This window comes from Homo sapiens, chromosome 5 (assembly GCF_000001405.40).
Source record: "Homo sapiens chromosome 5, GRCh38.p14 Primary Assembly".
NCBI classification, from domain to species: Eukaryota; Metazoa; Chordata; class Mammalia; order Primates; family Hominidae; genus Homo; species Homo sapiens.
In genome coordinates this window covers 113,065,102-113,085,578 of record NC_000005.10, presented here as the reverse complement: position 1 = coordinate 113,085,578, position 20,477 = coordinate 113,065,102, and the positions used below count along the sequence as shown (strand labels likewise).

At 44.4% G+C, this 20,477-nt stretch overlaps 1 protein-coding gene across 2 annotated transcripts in view, besides 5 other annotated features; it reads left to right on the top strand.

Annotated features, from left to right (window-relative positions):
* MCC (MCC regulator of Wnt signaling pathway) overlaps positions 1-20,477 on the top strand; it is a 466,348-nt gene that overhangs the window by 402,875 nt on the left and 42,996 nt on the right. For both annotated transcript variants that reach the window (NM_001085377.2, NM_002387.3), the window contains 5 exons: positions 269-415; positions 1,389-1,478; positions 2,571-2,719; positions 14,345-14,485; positions 17,396-17,499. In NM_001085377.2, coding sequence (NP_001078846.2) covers positions 269-415; positions 1,389-1,478; positions 2,571-2,719; positions 14,345-14,485; positions 17,396-17,499 — 631 coding nt within the window. The remainder of the gene's footprint in view (positions 1-268; positions 416-1,388; positions 1,479-2,570; positions 2,720-14,344; positions 14,486-17,395; positions 17,500-20,477) is intronic.
* Positions 2,555-3,754: an enhancer, noted in NCBI's record as "CDK7 strongly-dependent group 2 enhancer chr5:112417522-112418721 (GRCh37/hg19 assembly coordinates)". NCBI's record gives its function as "activates an origin of replication core promoter dependent on BRD2, BRD4, P300/CBP, MED14 and CDK7 cofactors, with strong dependence on CDK7, by STARR-seq in HCT116 cells {active_cell/tissue: HCT116}" and the evidence as "EXISTENCE:reporter gene assay evidence [ECO:0000049][PMID:35650434]".
* Positions 3,750-4,671: an enhancer, noted in NCBI's record as "OCT4-NANOG hESC enhancer chr5:112416605-112417526 (GRCh37/hg19 assembly coordinates)". NCBI's record gives its function as "activates a minimal SCP1, AML or CMV promoter by ChIP-STARR-seq in primed H9 embryonic stem cells {active_cell/tissue: H9 hESC(primed)}" and the evidence as "EXISTENCE:reporter gene assay evidence [ECO:0000049][PMID:30033119]".
* Positions 11,738-12,239: an enhancer, noted in NCBI's record as "H3K4me1 hESC enhancer chr5:112409037-112409538 (GRCh37/hg19 assembly coordinates)". NCBI's record gives its function as "activates a minimal SCP1, AML or CMV promoter by ChIP-STARR-seq in primed H9 embryonic stem cells {active_cell/tissue: H9 hESC(primed)}" and the evidence as "EXISTENCE:reporter gene assay evidence [ECO:0000049][PMID:30033119]".
* Positions 14,869-15,643: an enhancer, noted in NCBI's record as "OCT4-NANOG-H3K27ac-H3K4me1 hESC enhancer chr5:112405633-112406407 (GRCh37/hg19 assembly coordinates)". NCBI's record gives its function as "activates a minimal SCP1, AML or CMV promoter by ChIP-STARR-seq in naive H9 embryonic stem cells {active_cell/tissue: H9 hESC(naive)}" and the evidence as "EXISTENCE:reporter gene assay evidence [ECO:0000049][PMID:30033119]".
* Positions 15,644-16,420: an enhancer, noted in NCBI's record as "H3K27ac-H3K4me1 hESC enhancer chr5:112404856-112405632 (GRCh37/hg19 assembly coordinates)". NCBI's record gives its function as "activates a minimal SCP1, AML or CMV promoter by ChIP-STARR-seq in naive and primed H9 embryonic stem cells {active_cell/tissue: H9 hESC(naive and primed)}" and the evidence as "EXISTENCE:reporter gene assay evidence [ECO:0000049][PMID:30033119]".

The following is a 20,477-nucleotide window of genomic DNA, read 5'->3' as shown; positions in this document are numbered from 1 at the left end:
TTAGGCAAATATAAAAACTAGTAATATCATCACTTTGGTTTATAACTCTACTTTTTGTATTACATGTGATTTAAGAAACCGATTCATTAAAAAAAAATTATTAGTCCGAAAAAAGGAATATAATGACTTTTATGTGGACTCAACCAACCTAGCTTTTCAGTGGGCTGATCCCTCAATGTAAATGAAAGCCCCACCACCTACCCATCTGGCTGTTTTGCTCTTTAGCCAGGGAAACCACCAACTATGTCTAAAAGCATTATGATTTCAGGTCAGAGAGCTTCAAACTCGACTACAGAGCGTGCAGGCCACAGGTCCCTCCAGCCCTGGCCGCCTCACTTCCACCAACCGCCCGATTAACCCCAGCACTGGGGAGCTGAGCACAAGCAGCAGCAGCAATGACATTCCCATCGCCAAGGTGAGTTCCTGGGGATGGACCCGATGAGCGGGAACACCTCCTGTTATCTGGAAGCACCAGGCTCATCCTAGCCACTGTACAGGCATGCCCTTAGCTGAGACAGCACAAGGGGCTTCCCCTGGGACCTTACGCAGGCCTTCTATGCAGGAGCTGCAAGGAGAGATAACCCACTAATAGTTTTAAGTCTCTCTCAGCTGCAACCTGGACGCCAGCTCTCATTAATCAGCCAGCTGGAGAATGTCACAGCTGACAAGTCATTATGGAGAGTGAGACGTTTTGTCAAGTGCTCCAGTACTTCACAGTGGACAGAGTTGCTCTCAAAGACTAAGGTTCAGCCCAGTCAGGGACCTTGAGTAATGAACCAATGATCTCCCCACTCACAAGACTGACAGCTCTGCCACAAAAAAAGAAAAATAGATTATGATGGACAGGCTGTGGCAGCTGTGAGAAGTAGCCCCACTGACTCACTGCCACAGCCCCCCAGTACCTATGTTGAGTCTGTCTCAGATGATTAAAATTATGCCTGTTGGCTTGCCTGGTAGCTCTGCTAGCCACCACAATAAGGTTGATTCTTAACTATCAAGTTTAATAAGTTAGGTTAAACCAGTGTTTTCTAACCAGAAGTGATTTCATCCTCCAGGGGACATTTGGCAATGTCTAGAGACATTTTTGATGGTCACAATTGGAGTGCTACTGGCATCTTGTGGCTAGAGGCCAGAGATGCTGACAAATGTCCTACAATGCACAGGACAGACCCCCATAAAAAGAATTATCCAAGCCAAAATATCAGCAGTGCTGAAGTTGAAAGGCCCTGGCTTAAGCTGGTGGTAGAAAAATTGGACGTGAGCTGTTCTTAAGTTCTTTAATCATTTAGTTGACATGGCTAAAAAGTAGCCCTGTATAAGCGTAGTCCCAACAGTTTATCTGAGGAGTGGTGTGTAGTTTTCTATAATGTTTTGTTTTCTTTTTTAAGATTGCTGAGAGGGTGAAGCTATCAAAGACAAGGTCCGAATCGTCATCATCTGATCGGCCAGTCCTGGGCTCAGAAATCAGTAGCATAGGGGTGAGTGTTCATGAGAAGCAAGGCAAGAAAGTACCCGGCAGAGCTACACAGACAATGGATTATAGATGACAGAAGAACTTCCAAAGTCTATCTCCAATAAACCAGTTAGTTATAATAGTAAATCATACCTGATTTCCTTCCAAAGGATTAAATTAAAATGTATGATGATTTCCATCCATATGGTGAATTACTTCTTCAGCTTTAAGGGAGATTTTTTTTCCTTTCCTTGAAACCATTCAGAAACAAATGATTTAGGTCCAGTTCTTGGTGATATAGATGAAAGTCTTGAAGTATCTGTCTTATATCACCCTGCTACCCCAGAGACCAAGAGCTCTAAAATAACTTTGTCTTTTGCACATCCATCTTGAAAGGGGATGTGCTTTCCACTGAGGAGGAATGTTGTCTTTGAAGCCTAGCCCAGTGGTGGGAAAGACCAGAACCTTCACTTTAGTTCCAGAGTTTTCATTTGTGGAGTCTGGAAACCCCCTGGGACTGTAAGAGCTGATGGATGGTGAAAAGGAGTAGTTTCATTTCTTTAAGGGATCTTTTAGGATTGGGGATGAGGCTTAGAGAGCCAGCTATTTGATCCTCAGAGGCAGAGAGAGCCTGAATAGCATTTTAAGGCCCTAATTTAGAATTTTACACTGAGCAAAAATGCATGCATTCAGATTCTGTGCCAAAGCCAAATTGTGAAAATGAAGGAGTCAGCCCCTCTCCTGGGCTACAGAAACCAAAAACAGTGGCCTGGAGTGGCAGGGAATTCAGGATAGGGGAAAGAAATCCTGACTCTGTTCCACATTCAGAATTTAAGGAACTCCAAGAAGGCATGATCTCCCCATCCTGGCTGCCCAGCACCACGTGCTTGGGGAAGGAGCCATATTTTGATCCTGGTTTTTTTTTTCTACTGCTTTTATAGTATTTAATAGTTAGCTTTTCATACTAGGATTCTATCCTACAAACTGAGAACCTTCAGGGTAACCATCCTCCCAGTCCCCGATTCTCACGGAATATCAGCTTTAAATTCTTTTGCATGCAAAACATGCATCTCTGAAATGATATGTTCCAAAGGGGAATTAATGCTTCTTTTTGCAGGTATCCAGCAGTGTGGCTGAACACCTGGCCCACTCACTTCAGGACTGCTCCAATATCCAAGAGATTTTCCAAACACTCTACTCACACGGATCTGCCATCTCAGAAAGCAAGATTAGAGAGTTTGAGGTGGAAACAGAACGGCTGAATAGGTGAGGAGAGATCGTATCGATTTGATTGTGGGGCAGGGAGGAGGTGCTACTCCTCACTTCTCTTTCCAAAGATCTGTTCAAGGTGGCTTATGTATTGTGACATAGAGCAGTACCGTCAGGCTGGTGGGGATGGAAGTTCCTACCACCTTGGTCATCAGAGGAGTGCTCACAGCAGTCTGAGCTGCCATCATGGCTGTGACCTGGCATTCACATGGGCCTTATGCTTAGAAAGGTGCCATACTTGCTTCACTGCTCTGCTGTCAACGTTTTAAATTCTTAATATTGTTAAACAACGGACCCCACTTTTTCGTTTCACACTGGACCTTGCAAATTACATAGTGAGTCCTGGGAGCAGTCCCTACAGAATGGCAAGTAGGTCACAGGTGGCTGCCAAGCATGCAGGCCTGTGCTGCAGAGAACCACAGAAGGGAGTTCTGGAATGTTGAGTCAGCATCCTAGAGGCACTTGGAGCTACTGGAAACAGCACAGGCAATCTGGTAGAGCCATTCCTGGCATCGACCAGGCATGCTGATTTAGATCATCTTCCTGATGGTTGCCTAGTTTTATTTATGTTCTTCGCAAATGTGCTCAGTCTTGGATCCCTACATCCTATCCTAACTGTCCTACCTAGAGTAATTTTACCATATACCCCATTTTATGGATTCTTTTCAAGTCTTACAAAAGAGGTAGTTTCAGTTTGCCCTTTTGCCTGTTGGCAAAGACTCTCTTATGTGTCATGCCAGTGATGAGGGAGTTGCTAACAAAGCAAAGGAGAATGACCAGGGCAAAACCATGGAAACCACTTGGCCTCAGAATTGGTTCTGCAGTGGCAGAATGGACTGTTGAGTCACATCCGAGTGTGGTGTGGCTGCCTTGACCTACCAATCTTTAGTGGGAGAGCATTGTAAGAATTTGAAAGACTTATGAGCTAACCAGGAAGAAATAGGGATACCGTTCCCCATCCGCTGTTGCTTAATTCCATTCCTCTTGTGTATGGCAAACCAGAATAAATTGAATTATCATGTTAGTCCTGCCTGATTGAAGCTGTTTAATACAGTTCTTGAGAACTAAGGTAAATTGGCAATCTAGGTCATTTTAAATCTTGAAATTAAATGGTTTCCTTATTAAATCCAGAATACTTAAGAGTGATAATCCTGGTGATTACTTAGTGGCAGTAAAGAAGCAGTCTTTTCAGTATCACTGCCCTGGGAGTGCTTAAAAATTGAATCAGATATGCCCTTTGCAATTTAATGAAGTCAGATGCCTTCAGGGGGACCTCGATTTAGTGAGGATCTCCTCTCTACAGATTCTGGGCTTTAACAAGTTGGATCTGTGGCTGACCTTGAATAGGGCAGTTGCTTTCTACTCCGTTATATACACCCAGGAGAGACCAAAGAAGGGGGAAATATTTTGCTGGTAGCTGATGTTATTATGGTGTTTAACAGCTTACAAAGGGCTCTCGCAGACAGCCACTTAATCCTCAGCTTGTGAGGGTAGAGTAGTCCTGTTTTGCAAATGAGAAAACAAAGGCTTTGAAGTCCCAAGTTGAGTGACTTGCCTTAAATCCAGAGCTATTAAGTAGCTGAGACAGAATTCCAACCCTTACCCTTTGACCTCACCTCCATTGTCATCTCTGTGATCCTAGCTGCTGCGGGAACCTGGGGGTTCTTAGAAATAAGCTACCAGTATATCCTGATGTCTGCTATTCTAACTACCTCAAAGTTGGAGGCCTATTACTCTCAAAGTATGTTAGCCTTTAACTTCATGATTGGCAGGGGAGGGGGGGTCATCCCTACCCACCAAAATGTTTTCCTTCTTTAGCAAATCTGTGTTAAGCATCTGCTATATGCTAGGCTATGTGGCATGCAAAGCAAAGTAAAACAGAAAGGGTCCCTGCTCTCATGGAGCTTATATTCTGTTAGGGAAAATAGACCAAAGAGAAAACAAATAAGATGATAAGAAAGATCCAAGAAGGAAATAAATAGGACACCAACAGAAGCTCTGGGAGGGGTGATTTTTCTTTTTTCTTTTCTTTTTTTTTTTTGTTGTTGTTGTTAATTATACTTTAAGTTCTAGGGTATATGTGCACAACGTGCAGGTTTTTTACATAGGTATACATGTGCCATGTTGGTGTGCTGCACCCATCAACTCATCATTTACATTAGGTATATCTCCTAATGCTATCCCTCCCCGCTCCCTCCACCCCACGACAGGCCCCGGTGTGTGATGTTCCACACCGTGTGTCCAGGTGTTCTCATTGTTCAATTCCCACCTATGAGTGAGAACATGTGGTGTTTGGTTTTCTGTCCTTGTGATAGTTTGCTGAGAATGATGGTTTCCAGCTTCATCCATGTCCCTACAGAGGACATGAACTCATCCTTTTTTATGGCTGAGTAGTATTCCATGGTGTATGTGTGCCACATTTTCTTAATGCAGTCTATCATTGATGGACATTTGGGTTGGTTCCAAGTCTTTGCTATTGTGAATAGTGCCATAATAAACATACATGTGCATGTGTCTTTATAGCAGCATAATTTATAATCCTTTAGGCATATGCTCAGTAATGGGATGGCTGGGTCAAATGGTATTTCTAGTTCTAGATCCTTGAGGAATCACCACACTGTCTTCCACAATGGTTGAACTAGTTTACAGTCCCACCAACAGTGTAAAAGTGTTCCTGTTTCTCCACATCCTTTCCAGCACCTGTTGTTTCCTGACTTTTTAATGATTGCCATTCTAACTGGTGTGAGATGGTATCTCATTGTGGTTTTGATTTGCATTTCTCTGATGGCCAGTGATGCTGAGCATTTTTTCATGTGTCTGTTGGCTGCATAAATGTCTTCTTTTGAGAAGTGTCTGTTCATATCCTTCACCCACTTTTTGATGGGGTTGTTTGATTTTGTCTTGTAAATTTGTTTGTTTATAGATTCTGGATATTAGCCCTTTGTCAGATGGGTAGATTGTAAAAATGTTCTCCCATTCTGTAGGTTGCCTGTTCACTCTGATGGCAGTTTCTTTTGCTGTGCAGAAGCTCTTTAGTTTAATTAGATCCCATTTGTCTATTTTGCCTTTGGTGCCATTGCTTTTGGTGTTTTAGTCATGAAGTCCTTGCCCATGCCTATGTCCTGAATGGTATTGCCTAGGTTTTCTTCTAGAGGTTTTACGGTTTTAGGTCTAACATTTAAATCTTTAATCCATCTTGAATTAATTTTTGTTTAAGGTGTAAGGAAGGGATCCAGTTTCAGCTTTCTACATATGGCTAGCCAGTTTTCCCAGCACCATTTATTAACTAGGGAATCCTTTCCCCATTTCTTGTTTTTGGCAGGTTTGTCAAAGATCAGATGGTTGTAGATGTGCGGTATTATTTCTGAGGGCTCTATTCTGTTCCATTGGTCTATATCTCTGTTCTGGTACCAGTACCATGCTGTTTTGGTTACTGTGGCCTTGTAGTATAGTTTGAAGTCAGGTAGCATGATGCCTCCAGCTTTGTTCTTTTGGCTTAGGATTGTCTTAGCAATGTGGGCTCTTTTTTGGTTCCATATGAACTTTAAAGTAGTTTTTTTCCAATTCTGTGAAGAATGTCATTGATAGCTTGATGGGGATGGCATTGAATCTATAAATTGCCTTGGGCAGTATGGCCATTTTCACAATATTGATTCTTCCTATCCATGAGCATGGAATGTTCTTCCATTTGTTTGTTTCTTCTATTTCGTTGAGCAGTGGTTTGTAGTTCTCCTTGAAGAGGTCCTTCACATCCCTTGTAAGTTGGATTCCTAGGTATTTTATTCTCTTTGAATCAGTTGTGAATGGGAGTCCACTCATGATTTGGCTCTCTGTTTGTCTGTTATTGGTGTACAGGAATGCTTGTGATTTTTGCAGGTTGATTTTGTATCCTGAGACTTTTCTGAAGTTGCTTATCAGCTTAAGGAGATTTTGGGCTGAGGTGATGGGGATTTCTAAATATACAATCATGTCATCTGCAAACAGGGACAGTTTGACTTCCTCTTTTCCTAATTGAATACCCTTTATTTCTTTCTCCTGCCTCATTGCCCTGGCCAGAACTTCCAACACTGTGTTGAATAGGAGTGGTGAGAGAGGGCATCCCTGTCTTGTGCCAGTTTTCAAAGGGAATGCTTCCAGTTTGTGCCCATTCAGTATGATATTGGCTGTGGGTTTGTCATAGATAGCTCTTATTATTTTGAGATACGTCCCATCAATACCTAGATTATTGAGAGTTTTTAGCATGAAGAGCTGTTGAATGTTGTCAAAGGCCTTTTCTGCATCTATTGAGATAATCGTGTGGTTTTTGTCTTTGGTTCTATTTATATGATGGATTAACGTTTATTGATTTGCATATGTTGAACCAGCCTTGCATCCCAGGGATGAAGCCCACTTGATCATGGTGGATAAGCTTTTTGATGTGCTGCTGGATTTGGTTTGCCAGTATTTTATTGAGGTCTTTGCATCAATGTTCATCAGGGATATTGGTCTGGAATTCTCTTTTTTTGTTGTTGTGTCTCTGCCAGTTTTTGGTATCAGGATGATGCTGGCCTCATAAAATGAATGAGGGAGGATTCCCTCTTTTTCTATTGATTGGAACAGTTTCAGAAGGAATGATACCAGCTTCTCCTTGTACCTCTGGTAGAATTCGGCTGTGAATCTGTCTGGTCCTGGACTTCTTTTGGTTGATAGGCTATTAATTATTGCCTCAATTTCAGAACCTGTTATTGGCCTATTCAGGGATTCAACTCCTTCCCGGTTTAGTGTTGGGAAGGTGTATGTGTCCAGGAATTTATCTGTTTCTTCTAGATTTTCTAGTTTATTTGTGTAGAGGTGTTTATGGTATTCTCTGATGGTAGTTTGTATTTTTGTGGGATCAGTGGTGATATCCCCTTTATTATTTTTTATTGCGTCTATTTGATTCATCTCTTTTCTTCTTTATTAGTCTTGCTAGCGGTCTATCAATTTTGTTGATCCTTTCAAAAAACCAGCTCCTGGATTCATTGATTTTTTGAAGGGTTTTTTGTGTCTCTCTTTCCTTCAGTTCTGCTCTGATCTTAGTTTTTTCTTGCCTTCTGCTAGCTTTTGAATGTGTTGGCTCTTGATTTTCTAATTCTTTTAATTGTGATGTTAGGGTGTCGATTTTAGATCTTTCCTGCTTTCTCTTGTAGGCATTTAGTGCTATAAGTTTCCCTCTACACACTGCTTTAAATGTGTCCCAGAGATTCTTGTATGTTTTGTCTTTGTTCTCATTGGTTTCAAAGAACATCTTTATTTCTGCCTTCATTTCATTATGTACCCAGTAGTCATTCAGGAGCAGGTTGTTCAGTTTCCATGTAGTTATGCAGTTTTGAGTGAGTTTCTTAATCCTGAGTTCTAGTTTGATTGCACTGTGTTCTGAGAGACAGTTTGTTATAATTTCTATTCTTTTCCATTTGCTGAGGAGTGCTTTCCTTCTAACTACACGGTCAATTTTGGAATAAGTGTGATGTGGTGCTGAGAAGAATGTATATTCTGTTGATTTGGGGTGGAGAGTTCTGTAGATGCCTGTTTGGTCTGCTTGGTGGACAGCTGAGTTCAATTCCTGGATATCCTTGTTAACTTTCTGTCTCATTGATCTGTCTAATGTTGACAGTAGGGTGTTAAAGTCTCCATTATTATTGTGTGGGAGTCTAAGTCTCTTTGTAGGTCTCTAAGGACTTGCTTTATGAATCTGGGTGCTCCTGTATTGGGTGCATATATATTTAGGATAGTTAGCTCTTCTTGTTGAATTGATCCCTTTACCATTATGTAATGGCCTTCTTTGTCTCTTTTGATCTTTGTTGGTTTAAAGTCTGTTTTATCAGAGACTAGGATTGCAACCCCTGCTTCTTTTTGTTTTCCATTTGCTTGGTAGATCTTCCTCCATGCCTTCATTTTGAGCCCATGTGTGTCTCTGCTCGTGAGATGGGTTTCTTGAATACAGCACACTCATGGGTCTTGACTCTTTATCCAATTTGCCAGTCTGTGTCTTTTAATTGAAACATTTAGCCCATTTACATTTAAGGTTAATATTATGTGTGAATTTGATCCTGTCATTATGATGTTAGCTGGTTATTTTGCTTGTTAGTTGATGCAGTTTCTTCCTAGCCTTGATGGTCTTTACAATTTGGCATGTTTTTGTAGTGGCTGGTACCGGTTGTTCCTTTCCATGTTTATGCTTCCTTTAGGAGCTCTTGTAAGGCAGGCCTGGTGGTGACAAAATCTCTCAGCATTTGTTCGTCTGTAAAGGATTTTATTTATTCTTCACTTATGAAGCTTAGTTTGGCTGCATATGAAATTCTGGGTTGAAAATGCTTTTCTTTAAGAGTATTTAATATTGGCCCCCACTCTCTTCTGGCTTTTAGAGTTTCTCCCAAGAAATCAGCTACTACTCTGATGGGCTTCCCTTTGTGGGTAACCCGACCTTTCTCTGTGGCTGCCCTTAACATTTTTTTCCTTCATTTCAACTTTGGTGAATCTGACAATTATGTGTCTTGGAGATGCTCTTCTCAAGGAGTATCTTTGTGGTGTTCTCTGTATTTCCTGAATGTGAATGTTGGTCTGCCTTGCTAGGTTGGGGACGTTCTCCTGGATAATATCCTGCAGAGTGCTTTCCAGCTTGGTTCCATTCTCCCCATCACTTTCAGGTCCACCAATCAGATGTAGATTTGGTCTTTTCACATAGTCCTGTGTCCAGTATTGGTGGGTTCTTGGTCTTGCTGACTTCAAGAATGAAGCCGTGGACCCTCGCAGTGAGTGTTACAGTTCTTAAAGATGGTGTGTCTGGAGTTTGTTCCTTCTGATGTTCAGACGTGTCCGGAGTTTCTTCCTTCTGGTGGGTTTGTGGTCTCGCTGGCTTCAAGACTGAAGCTGCAGACCTTCACAGTGAGTTACAGCTCTTAAAGGGGGCGCATCTGGAGTTGTTGGTTCCTTCTGGTGGTATCGTGGACTCACTGGCTTCAGGAGTGAAGCTGCAGACCTTCACGTTGAGTGTTACAGCTCTTAAAGGTGGCGCGGACCCAAAGAGTGAGCAGCAGCAAGATTTATTGTGAAGAGCAAGAGAACAAAGCTTCCACAGCATGGAAGGGCACCCGAGCGGGTTGCTGCTGCTGGCTCGGGCAGCCTGCTTTTATTCCCTTATCTCGTCCCACCCACATCCTGCTGATTGGTCCATTTTACAGAGAGCTGATTGGTCTGTTTTACAGAGAGGTGATTGGTCTGTTTTGACAGGGTGCTGACTGGTGCATTTACAAACCTTGAGCTAGACACAGAGTGCTGATTGGTGCAATTACAATCCTCCAGCTAGACTTAAAAGTTCTCCAAGACCCCACCCGACTCAAGAGCCCAGCTGGCTTCACCTAGTGGATCCTGCGCTGGGACCGCTGGCGGAGCTGCCCGCCAGTCCCGTGCCATGCACCCACACTCCTCAGCCCTTGGGCGGTCGATGGGACTGGGCACCTCAGAGCAGGGGGCGGCACCCATCGGGGAGGCTTGGGATGCACGGGAACCCACAGGGGGTGAGGGGGGCTCGGGCATGGTAGGCTGCAGGTCCCAAGCCCTGCTCCGCGGGGAGGCAGCTGAGGCCCAGTGAGAATTCGAGCGTGGCGCGAGCGGGCCGGAAGTGCTGTGGTACCCGGTGCACCCTCCACAGCTGCTGGCCCGGGTGCTAAGCCCCTCACTGCCCAGGGCCAGTGGCACCAGCCGGCTGCTCCAAGTGCGGGGCCTGGTGAGCCCATGCTGAGCTGGAACTCGTGCTGGCCCACGAGTGCCACGCACCTCTCCCTCCACACTTCCCATCAAGCAGAGGGAGCTGGCTCTGGCCTCAGCCACCCCAGAGAGGGGCCCCCACAGTGCAGTGGTGGGCTGAAGCGCTCCTTGAGCATGGCCAGAGCAGACACCGAGGCCGACGAGGTGCCAAGAGCAAGCAAGGGCTGCTAGCACTTTGTCACCTCTCAGTCCCTTATTTCTTGGAGGCTTTGTTCATTTCTTTTTACTCATTTTTCTCTAAACTTCTCTTCTCACTTCATTTCATTCATATGATCTTCAATCCCTGATACGCTTTCTTCCACTTGATCAAATCAGCTACTGAAGCTTTTGCATGCATCATGTAGTTCTTGTGCCGTGGTTTTCAGCTCCTTCAGGTCATTTAAGGACTTGTCTACACTGTTTATTCTAGTTAGCCATTTGTCTAATCTTTTTTCAAGGTTTTTAGCTTCTTTGCAATGGGCTCGAACATCCTCCTTTAGCTTGGAGAAGTTTGTTATTATCTATCGTCTGAAGCCTTCTTCTATCAACTCATCAAAGTCATTCTCTGTCCAGCTTTGTTCCATTGCTGGCGAGGAGCTGTCTTCCTTTGGAGGAGAAGAGGCACTCTGATTTTTAGAATTTTCAGCTTTTCTGCTCTGGTTTCTCCCCATCTTTGTGGTTTTATCTACCTTTGGTCATTGATGATGGTGATGTACAGATGGGGTTTTGGTGTGGATGTCCTTTCTGTTTGTTAGTTTTCCTTCTAATAGTCAGGACCCTCAGCTGCAGGTCTGTTGGAGTTTGCTGGAGGTCCACTCCAGACCCTGTTTGTGTGGGTATCACCAGCGGAGGCTGCAGAACAGCAAATACTGCAGAACGGCAGATGTTGCTGCCTGATCCTTCCTCTGGAAGCTTCGTATCAAAGGGGCACCCAGCTGTATGAGGTGTCAGTCGGCCCCTACTGGGAGGTGTCTCCCAGTTAGGCTACTCAGGGGTCAGGGACCCACTTGAGGAGGCAGTCTATCCATTCTCAGAGCTCAAACTGCATGGTGGGAGAACCACTGCTCTCTTCATAGCTGTCAGACAGGGACTTTTAAGTCTGCAGAAGTTGTCTGCTGCCTTTTGTTCAGCTATGCCCTGCCCCCAGCGGTGGAGTCTACAGAGGCAGGCAGGTCTCCTTGAACTGCGGTGGGCTCCACCCAGTTTGAGCTTCCCAGCCACTTTGTTTACCTACTCAACCCTCAGCAGTGGCGGACGCCCGTCCCCCAACCTCGCTGTGGCCTTGCAGTTTGATCTCAGACTGCTGTGCTAGCAGTGAGCGAAGCTCCGTGGGCGTGGGACCCCAGAGAAGGTTAATTTTTCGGTGGGTAGTCAGGGCAGGCATCTGAAGATGGGAGGCTTACATTGAGATGGATTTAAAAGAAAAAAAAAAAAAAGCAGCCATATGGCGAACTGATATTCTTATGGCCACTTAACAACCATGAGGCCTGAAAGAGGAATTGTCCAAAGGCCAGCGGAACTGAAATGGAGTAAGGGGAAGAAGCTACATGAGACGAGGTGGCAGAGCAGGGGCTGGCTCAGCTGTGGATTTTGATGCCACGGACAAATTTTACTCTTTATTCGAAGTGTAATTAGAAGTCATTAAAGGGTTTTCGAATGTGGAAAAACAAGATCTGATTGACATTATGGAAGCTTACCTGGGTGTGGAGAATGGGAAGGATGGGATAAGAGTGGAAGCAGCACAATCTTTGTGGTATGCCAGGGCAGCTCTGGCAGGATGGGGCCAGGGGCCTCACGCACGCCATGTGTGGTGCTGAAAGCAGTGGAAACTGCAGCTGGGTTGCACTTGAATAAGAGAAAGGAATGGTCTCAAAAAAGATCCTCAGGGGTCTAGTGCAGGGGTGTCCAATCTTTTGGCTTCCTGGGCCACACTGGAAGAAGAGCAATGTCTCGGGCCAAACATAAAATACACTAACACAAATGACAGCTGATGAACTGAAAAAAAAAAAAATTGCAAAAATATCTCGTAATGTTTCAAGAAAGTTTACAAATTTGTGTTGGGCCCCATGCAGCCCACAGGTTGGACAAGCTTGGTCTAGCATGTAGTGTTGGGTAGACGGTGGTGGCATTTACTGAGATGGAGAAGATAAGGGAGGATGAGGTTCAGGGGAAATCAAGAATCCCACTTTGGAATGTTAAACTAGAGGTGGCAATGTGACAGCAAAAGGAAATGTCAGGAAGGCAGCTGGATATGTGAGCCTGGCCCTCAGAAGAAAGCGCTGGGCTAGAGAAAGTTGTGAGCCAGCGGAGCATACCTGCCTAATAACATCATGGGACTGGATAGAAATCACCCCTAGGGTGGGAGTGTTGATAGCAGAGGGGACCCCGGGACAGCCCCAAGAGAATGGCAAGCCTTACTAATTTTATAGAGAATGAGCATCTAGCAAAGGAGACTGAGAGGAAATAGCCGCTAGGGCAGGAAGAAAACCAGCAGAGACCCACCATGGCTTAAGTGAGGGGAGCTCTTTAAGAAGGAAAGAGTAACAGATCAGTGGGGTGTTGTCTGAGAAGGGCCCTGAGATGGGCTTGGCTACATGGAGGTCTATGAGTTGGGTAAAGGCTTTATCTAATTAGCCGGGACAGACTGTAGACTGGAGCAAGTTGAAAAGTGAGAGAATGGTGACTCTTTTCAAGAAGTCTTAATGTGAACAGGGGCAGAAAAGCATTCTTGTGGCACCTTACCTTGAAGTGACCTTGGAATGGCCAGAGCCTGGCAGTGATCTTAGTTCTTCTACACTCACCAGATGTCTCCCATGTTGGCAAGTGTCTCCATATTCTGCTCTAAGGCTTGAGTCTAAGATTTTTCCTTGAAGCTAATGGCTTCCAAACCCCTTAACATTTCAAGTCACTTGCAGTTTGTTTGTGTGAAGCTTTCTCTTTAAGAGTTAGTGGTCAGAGTACTACAAATAGATGTGTCCATGGAAAATGACTTGTGGCATCAAGAGCATCTGTACCCTGAGATGGAAAACGGAGAAGCTGAAGGATCATATTATTCATTTGTTTGCTAACTTTGCCACAGACTCATTTGCCCTGAATCTACAGTTCTGAATCTTGTAAAACTTCAAGTTCCCAATGCTTATCCTACCACTAGTTAGAGCTGCTAGACTGTGTAACCCAAAAGCAGCTTTGGGTACAATCCATAGCTCCTCGTCCATTTCCCACTTAAAGGCCACCAGGGGAAGTTTCCTGTTCACTCACTGATTCTTCCTTTGGTTCTCTCTGTAGTTTGTGATTATGAGGATGGGATTTGGGGTCACACTTCCCGGTTCAAATCCCAGGGCAAGATACTTAATGTTTCTGGACCTCCATTTCCTCATCTGAAATGGGAGTAACAACACTTAATTCAAAAGGCTGCTAGGAGAATCACTAAAGCAAAGGCTTAACAAATAGCCATGACTGCTGTCTTGCTGCTTTTCATCCTTGCATGTGGAGGGTGACTTATCTAAGCCCACCAGACGTTCCACATGATGGCGGCCTGGAGGTTGCACAACTGTCTCCTTTCCTTGGAATATCTCCAGAGCCTAGCACTGTGCCCTGCTCATGATAGACATGGAGTGAGTGTGGCAATGGCTGGGGGGCTTATTTTTAACCAGGGGGCTTATTTTTTATTTGTAATTCACACAGAGTTTGGTGATACTTTTATGTAGAGTTGCTTCTTTGACAAAATACTGTGTCAGCTACTAATCTGACAGGCCCACATCCTCACATGCTTTTCTGCCCTGAATATAAATGAGACAACTGAAATATTGGCAAATTAACTGTAACCCTAGTGTGAATCTGATTTTTGTTCCTTTGTAGCCGGATTGAGCACCTCAAATCCCAAAATGACCTCCTGACCATAACCTTGGAGGAATGTAAAAGCAATGCCGAGAGGATGAGCATGCTGGTGGGAAAATACGAATCCAATGCCACAGCGCTGAGGCTGGCCTTGCAGTACAGGTAGGCACACACTGGGATGTTTGGAGCTACTTCAGGGTAGAAGTGCATCCAGAGTAACCTTCAGAATAAAAGTAGGAAATAGGCTTTTAGAAGGCATATCTGGCAGTTTGGACCAAGGCATATCTGGCGGTTTGGACAGCAAATAGCTAAGAGTAATGAATATGATGTTAGTAAACAGGTATATTTCTCCTAGCATATTCATCTTAAATATCATTTCATTTAGGTACTATCACTCAAAATATCGATTTTTTTGGCATGTTACATGTTCATTTCTTCTTGCAGATCTTTATTCATGTTCATATGTAATTTACATTGTTATAAATCTAGTGCATTCTAGTTCTTCATTTTGTTGTAGTCTTAAAATGTTGCTTTTAATAGTCTCTATTCTGAATGGCTGTAACCCCTCCAACAAGTTTTTATATTGTTAATTTATTCACTTTTCTAAAAGACATTTAGACTTTTGATATTAAAAATAATTCTATGATGAATAATTTAATGCAGATAAGATCTTCATTCTTTTGAATATTTTCCTCTGGATAAAATCCCAAAGCAGGAATTGTAGGTCAAAGGATATGAATATTTTCCTGGTCTTCAGGCATGCTGCTGATTTTTTGTCATGAAAACAAGTCAATTTAAATAACTACAGTTCACTCATTGGTGAGCAAGTGGTAATTTGAATGGGCCACTTTTTTTTTTCTGCCTCATCACTTTGAAATTTATCTGTTTTTAAATTACTGCTTGTTTAAAGCTGCAAAACTATGCCTTATTATTATCATCATAGGTTTCTTTTATTAGTGTTACCACTTAAGTGTATTTGCCAAGGCCTCAGAGTAGTTGACTGTATCGTACACTTAGCATCCTCTAAAAAGTTCGGTATTGTTTAAGAAACATTCTTGTTTATTCAGGAAATTATCAAAGCAAAATGAATGAGACCAAAGCTAGAGAGCAATCATTCTGGTTTACAGACAGCAAAGCAAGCAGATAATCCATCTGTGATAACCGTTGAAGCTGGTTGCTGTCCACCCACAATCTGCCTTTGAGCAGAAAGGTCTTTCTCCACATTAGTACAACCTCATGGATAAGGAAATGTCCTCACATCTCTGGAATATGAACTGCCTTTGAAACGAGGAGCTGGTATCACCTAGGGCTAGCATTTCAGCCCTTTGTCTTAACTCTTAGTAAAGGACAATGAAAATAAAGTCAATTGACGCTGGGCGCGGTGGCTCACGCCTGGAATCCCAGCATTTTAGGAGGCCGAGGCGGGCGGATCACGAGGTCAGGAGATCAAGATCATCCTGGCTAACACAGTGAAACCCCGTCGCTACTAAAAATACAAAAAAAAAAGTTAGCCAGGCATGGTGGTGGACGCCTGTAGTCCCAGCTACTCAGGAGGCTGAGGCGGGAGGCTGAGGCAGGATAATGGCGTGAACCTGGGAGGCGGAGCTTGCAGTGAGCTGAGATCGTGCCACTGCACTCCAGCCTGGGCGACAGAGCGAGACTCCGTCTCAAAGAAAAAAAAGAAAGGCAATCAAAGGAAATTGTCTGTTGACTAAATGAAGCAACATATCCCCTGTTCAGCTTGAAGAAGCTAGACAGTTACTTTCTTAAAGAGGAAATGTTCCTACTGCAGGCATATTATCTGGGACCCTGAGGATGCTGTACACATGTTCCACCTCCTCTTGTGTGGACGTGGGCCACGTGGGTCTCACGCTACAGGAAAGGGACTGTTGTTTGATATTTTACCTTGTTTGCCCAATGAATGTTGGGCACAAAGAAGAGTGACTATGTTTCCTCCTCCTAGAAATCCAAACTCAAACTCTTGTCAGAGCTTTTGTGAAGGCCTAAGAATGTTTCATGAGACATTTTAAGCACTTAGTTTTATGAGAATCTAATAGAACTTTTCTGTGATGGTGGAACTGTTCTCTACATGCACTGCCCAATATGGTAACCACTGGCCATGTATGGCTATTGAACATATGAAGTATGGCTACTGCAATGGAGGAATGGACTTTTTCATTTTATTTAACTCAGAATATTTTCAATTTAAGTAGCTATTTGTGGCTAGTAGATACTATATTGAATAGTGCAGGTCTAGGTCAAAATCATCTCCTTGTGGGATGTTATATCAGCTACCTATTGTTGTATGACTAATCACTTACTGCATCACAGTTTCAAGGATCAGGAACCTGGGGGTGGCTTAGTAGGTGGTTCTGGTTCAGGGTCTCTTGTGAGATTCTGGTCAAGCTGTCAGCCAGGGCTGTATCATCTGAGACCTCAGTGGGGGATTGGAGGATCTGCTCTAAGAAGGCTCACTCACCTGGCTGTTGGCTGGAGGCCTTAGTCATTACTCACCATGTGGACCTCTCCATAGGGCTGCCTGAGAATCTTGAAGACACGACAGCTGGCCTGCTCCGGGGAGGATGGTCCAAGATAGTGAAGTGAGAGAGAGTGACCAAGATGGAAGTCAGGGTTTTTTAGTAAGCTAATTTTGGAAATGACCTACTGTCACTTCTGTCACACAGACCAACCCTGGTACAGTGCAGATGGGGGACAGCACAAGGGTGTGGACACCAGGGTGCCGGCTCAGCGGGACTACCTGGAGTGGCCTACCACAAGGGAATCACATGGTCCTTTCAGGTGGTCACTGAAGGGACGACACATTTGCCTCTCCCACCTTTATTGTTTCTCTTGTATTTTTCCAGAACCAAGTTAAAGGTTTAAAAATAAAAAGGCCAAATGAAAGAGCAAGCCACTGGCCCTGCCCTGGGAATATTCATGGGTGGTTTCCTTGCCTGTGTGGAGAGTGAGGCCGAGACAGCACCTGAGCTGCCTCCTGCACAGAAACCGGCGCCACATTGAAGGTGTCCGCTGTTCTCTGCAAGGGCTGAGGCCCCATGTGCTTTGTTTCAGCGAGCAGTGCATCGAAGCCTACGAACTCCTCCTGGCGCTGGCAGAGAGTGAGCAGAGCCTCATCCTGGGGCAGTTCCGAGCGGCGGGCGTGGGGTCCTCCCCTGGTAAGTGTCTCCAGAGTCCCTCTTCCTCCTCTTGTCTCCCTGCCTCCTTTGCTTCTGCCCCTGTCTCAGCAACTGGCATTGAATCATCTCCCGACAACACAAAATTTGGTTGTCAAGTGTGTTTTTCGTTTTTCCTCATGACTGAATGGGTAAATTGTTTATGTTGAATGCAGCAAGAACTGGAGTGGAAACAGAATAACAGACAAGTTAAAACAAACAAGACTTCTTAGGAGCTGCATTCTCCTGGGCTGACAGTGGGGCCAGATGGAGCTGAGGCCGCATCAGCGATGAAAGGGGCCAGCGTTTCTGCAGCTGTCTCTCTGATGCCTGTTGTCAAGGCACATGCTGCCGCCACATGGCCTTCACTTCATCTCGTTCCATTGGCTGAGCTTCTCCAAGTTTACCTCTTTGAGTAGTAGTTGTTTTTTTTGTTTGTTTGTTTTGAGATGGAGTTTTGCTCTTGTTGCCCAGGCTGGAGTGCAATGGTGCAATCTTGGCTCACTGCAACCTCCACCTCCTAGGTTCAAGCATCCTCCTGCCTCAGCCTCCCAAGTAGCTGGGATTACAGGCACATGCCACCACGCCTGGCTAATTTTGTATTTTTAGTGGAGACAGTTTCACCATGTTGGTCAGCCTGGTCTTGAACTCCTGACCTCAGGTGATCCACCTGCCTCAAAGTGCTGGGATTACATGCGTGAGCCACTGCGCCCGGCTTTTGAGTAGTTTTGAAACATGGGTTTCCCCTGCCAGGTCTCCAGGTGTCTTACGAACAAAGAAGAAGTAGTTTCACCCCCTGCTCTTGTCAGCATCACAGAATGCTCGCCCACCTCGCTTTCCTGTGCCTGTCCTTCCCCCAGCCCGGGGATCCTGTGCCCTGTTGGCCTGACCTGTACCTCGAGATCTGCACTGCCTGCTCACTTCTGTCCCTCAATTTTGAGTAAGGTGGAAGGAGTATCTAATTGGACACAAGCATGTCATTCTAGGAAGCGGCAGCATTTGCTAAAACGTGGCCAGTGATTGTGGCTCCGAGCCTGCAGTGATGTGGGGAGGACTGCAGTAGAAACAGTGCTAAGAGGAAAGAGAGACCCAAGGAGAAAGGTGGCCGTCTCTCCATGCAGAACTAAGCCCCGGACACCCCCTTAGCCTTCGGAGAGGCAATAGCAAGTAAACAGAAAGCCAAGGTGACCAGGTCTCTCCAGAGCCAAAGATGGATGGTGTGGGCAGGCCAGGCATTCCCATGTGTGGTAGCCAGGCCTCTGTCATGGACTGGATTTCTGCTGTGAGCTTCCATTAGGACTTGTCCATCCAGGACACACCCTTCAAAGAAAGTCACCATCCAGGCACCTTCTGAATGCACCTTCCTGTCCTTCTTCCCCGCTCCTCCCCCTTTGTCTGGGGGCTCACTTTTGCACTGAACACTCACATGTGTTTCCTCCTTCAGTTTCGACTTGCACAGGAATCTGAAGCAAAAGTGAAGGAAGGAAGGTATCCTGGGTGTTAATTTCCTGCTTCATATCCAAGTAATCCAACAAAGGAGCACACCTTCATTTGTATGGAGAGTGATGCTCTGATCCTCCCTCTGGTTTTTTTTAAATAGTATTACCAGCCCAGCCCAGAAGTAGAAACTCTGCCAGCATTTCCATTAGAAACCTCATTTTTCAGGGTCTTTTAACTGAACCATAAAACTTTATTTCTCATATGAAACAGATCCTAAAATGATCTTGGCCTGCTGTCAGGATTTTTTTAAATTAATATACGTATTAAGAAAAATGATAAATTAAAGGAAAAAGTCAATCGTATTTCCAGTTGGTTATCAGCGGAGTGTCTTAACCTGTTCAGGCCTCACAAGGTACCTTTCATTAGGCATGTACCTACTCAGTGCAGTTATTTGGTGTAGGAGCTGAAAGAGCTTAAATAAATCTGCCTTTTAAATATTCAAAATCAATAATGAAATGCTTTGTATTTACCTAATACTGGGAAGTTCATGTATACATTTATAATATGAGCCAGTAAGTAATGTCATGCCTAATTCCAAATAGCAGTCAGTGGTGAGATGTATGTAAAATGTCTTATTTGTGGAGAGAAGAGAGGCATGAAGTTTGTCAGAGAAATGACAGGAGGGAGTTCCAGGGATTTTTGGCCTGCAGAATGGGTCCACCCCATTTCCTGCCCACTCTCCATAGTACTGAGGGCAGGCTTGATTTTTAGCAGTTCCCCATTAAGCCTCGCCCTTGCATTCCGCTGACAGGAGTGGCTGGCCCATCATACTGTGCCATCATGCCACCCATCATGCCATAGAGCTGTTGCACAGCAAAGCAGGAACTCATTTGTGACATGCACCCACAGTATCTATGATTGTGGGTCTTTTCTTTGTTTCTTGTTGATGTCACAGGCATTCATTCTGTTCATTCTTTCATTCACAGGTGCTTTAGGCTAGTGGTTTTCAAACTGGTCTGGGAAGCTGGAGGAGTTTCTCTGGGCCTCGGCAGTGGGGTTGGAGGGTGGGACTCTGAGTGTGTCTCCCACTTCTGCCCACTTCATCCAATTCCGCATTTACCTTTTTTGTATGTTAGGATAGCATTTTCTATGATTTGGTGTAAGATTTCATTTAAAAATATTTGGAAAAGCATGGATCTGTGCTGTACAGGTAGCAAACCAGTGATTTGTTCAGCCAGCACAGTTTCTGTTTTGTTTTGTTTTATTTTTTTAAGGCTTTGTTTTTTTAGAGCAGTTTTAGGTTCACAGCAAAACTGAGAGGAAGGCACAGAGATTTCCCATATGCCTCCAACCCTCAACATGCACGGCCTCCCCCGTTTTCAGCGTCCCCCACCAGGGTAGTATATTAGTTACAAGTGATGAACCTACAGTGACACATCATCACCCAGAGCCCATAGTTTACATCAGAGTTCATTCTTGGTGCTGTACATTCTATGGGTTTGGGCCAATGTATAACAACTTGAGTCCACGGTTACAGTATC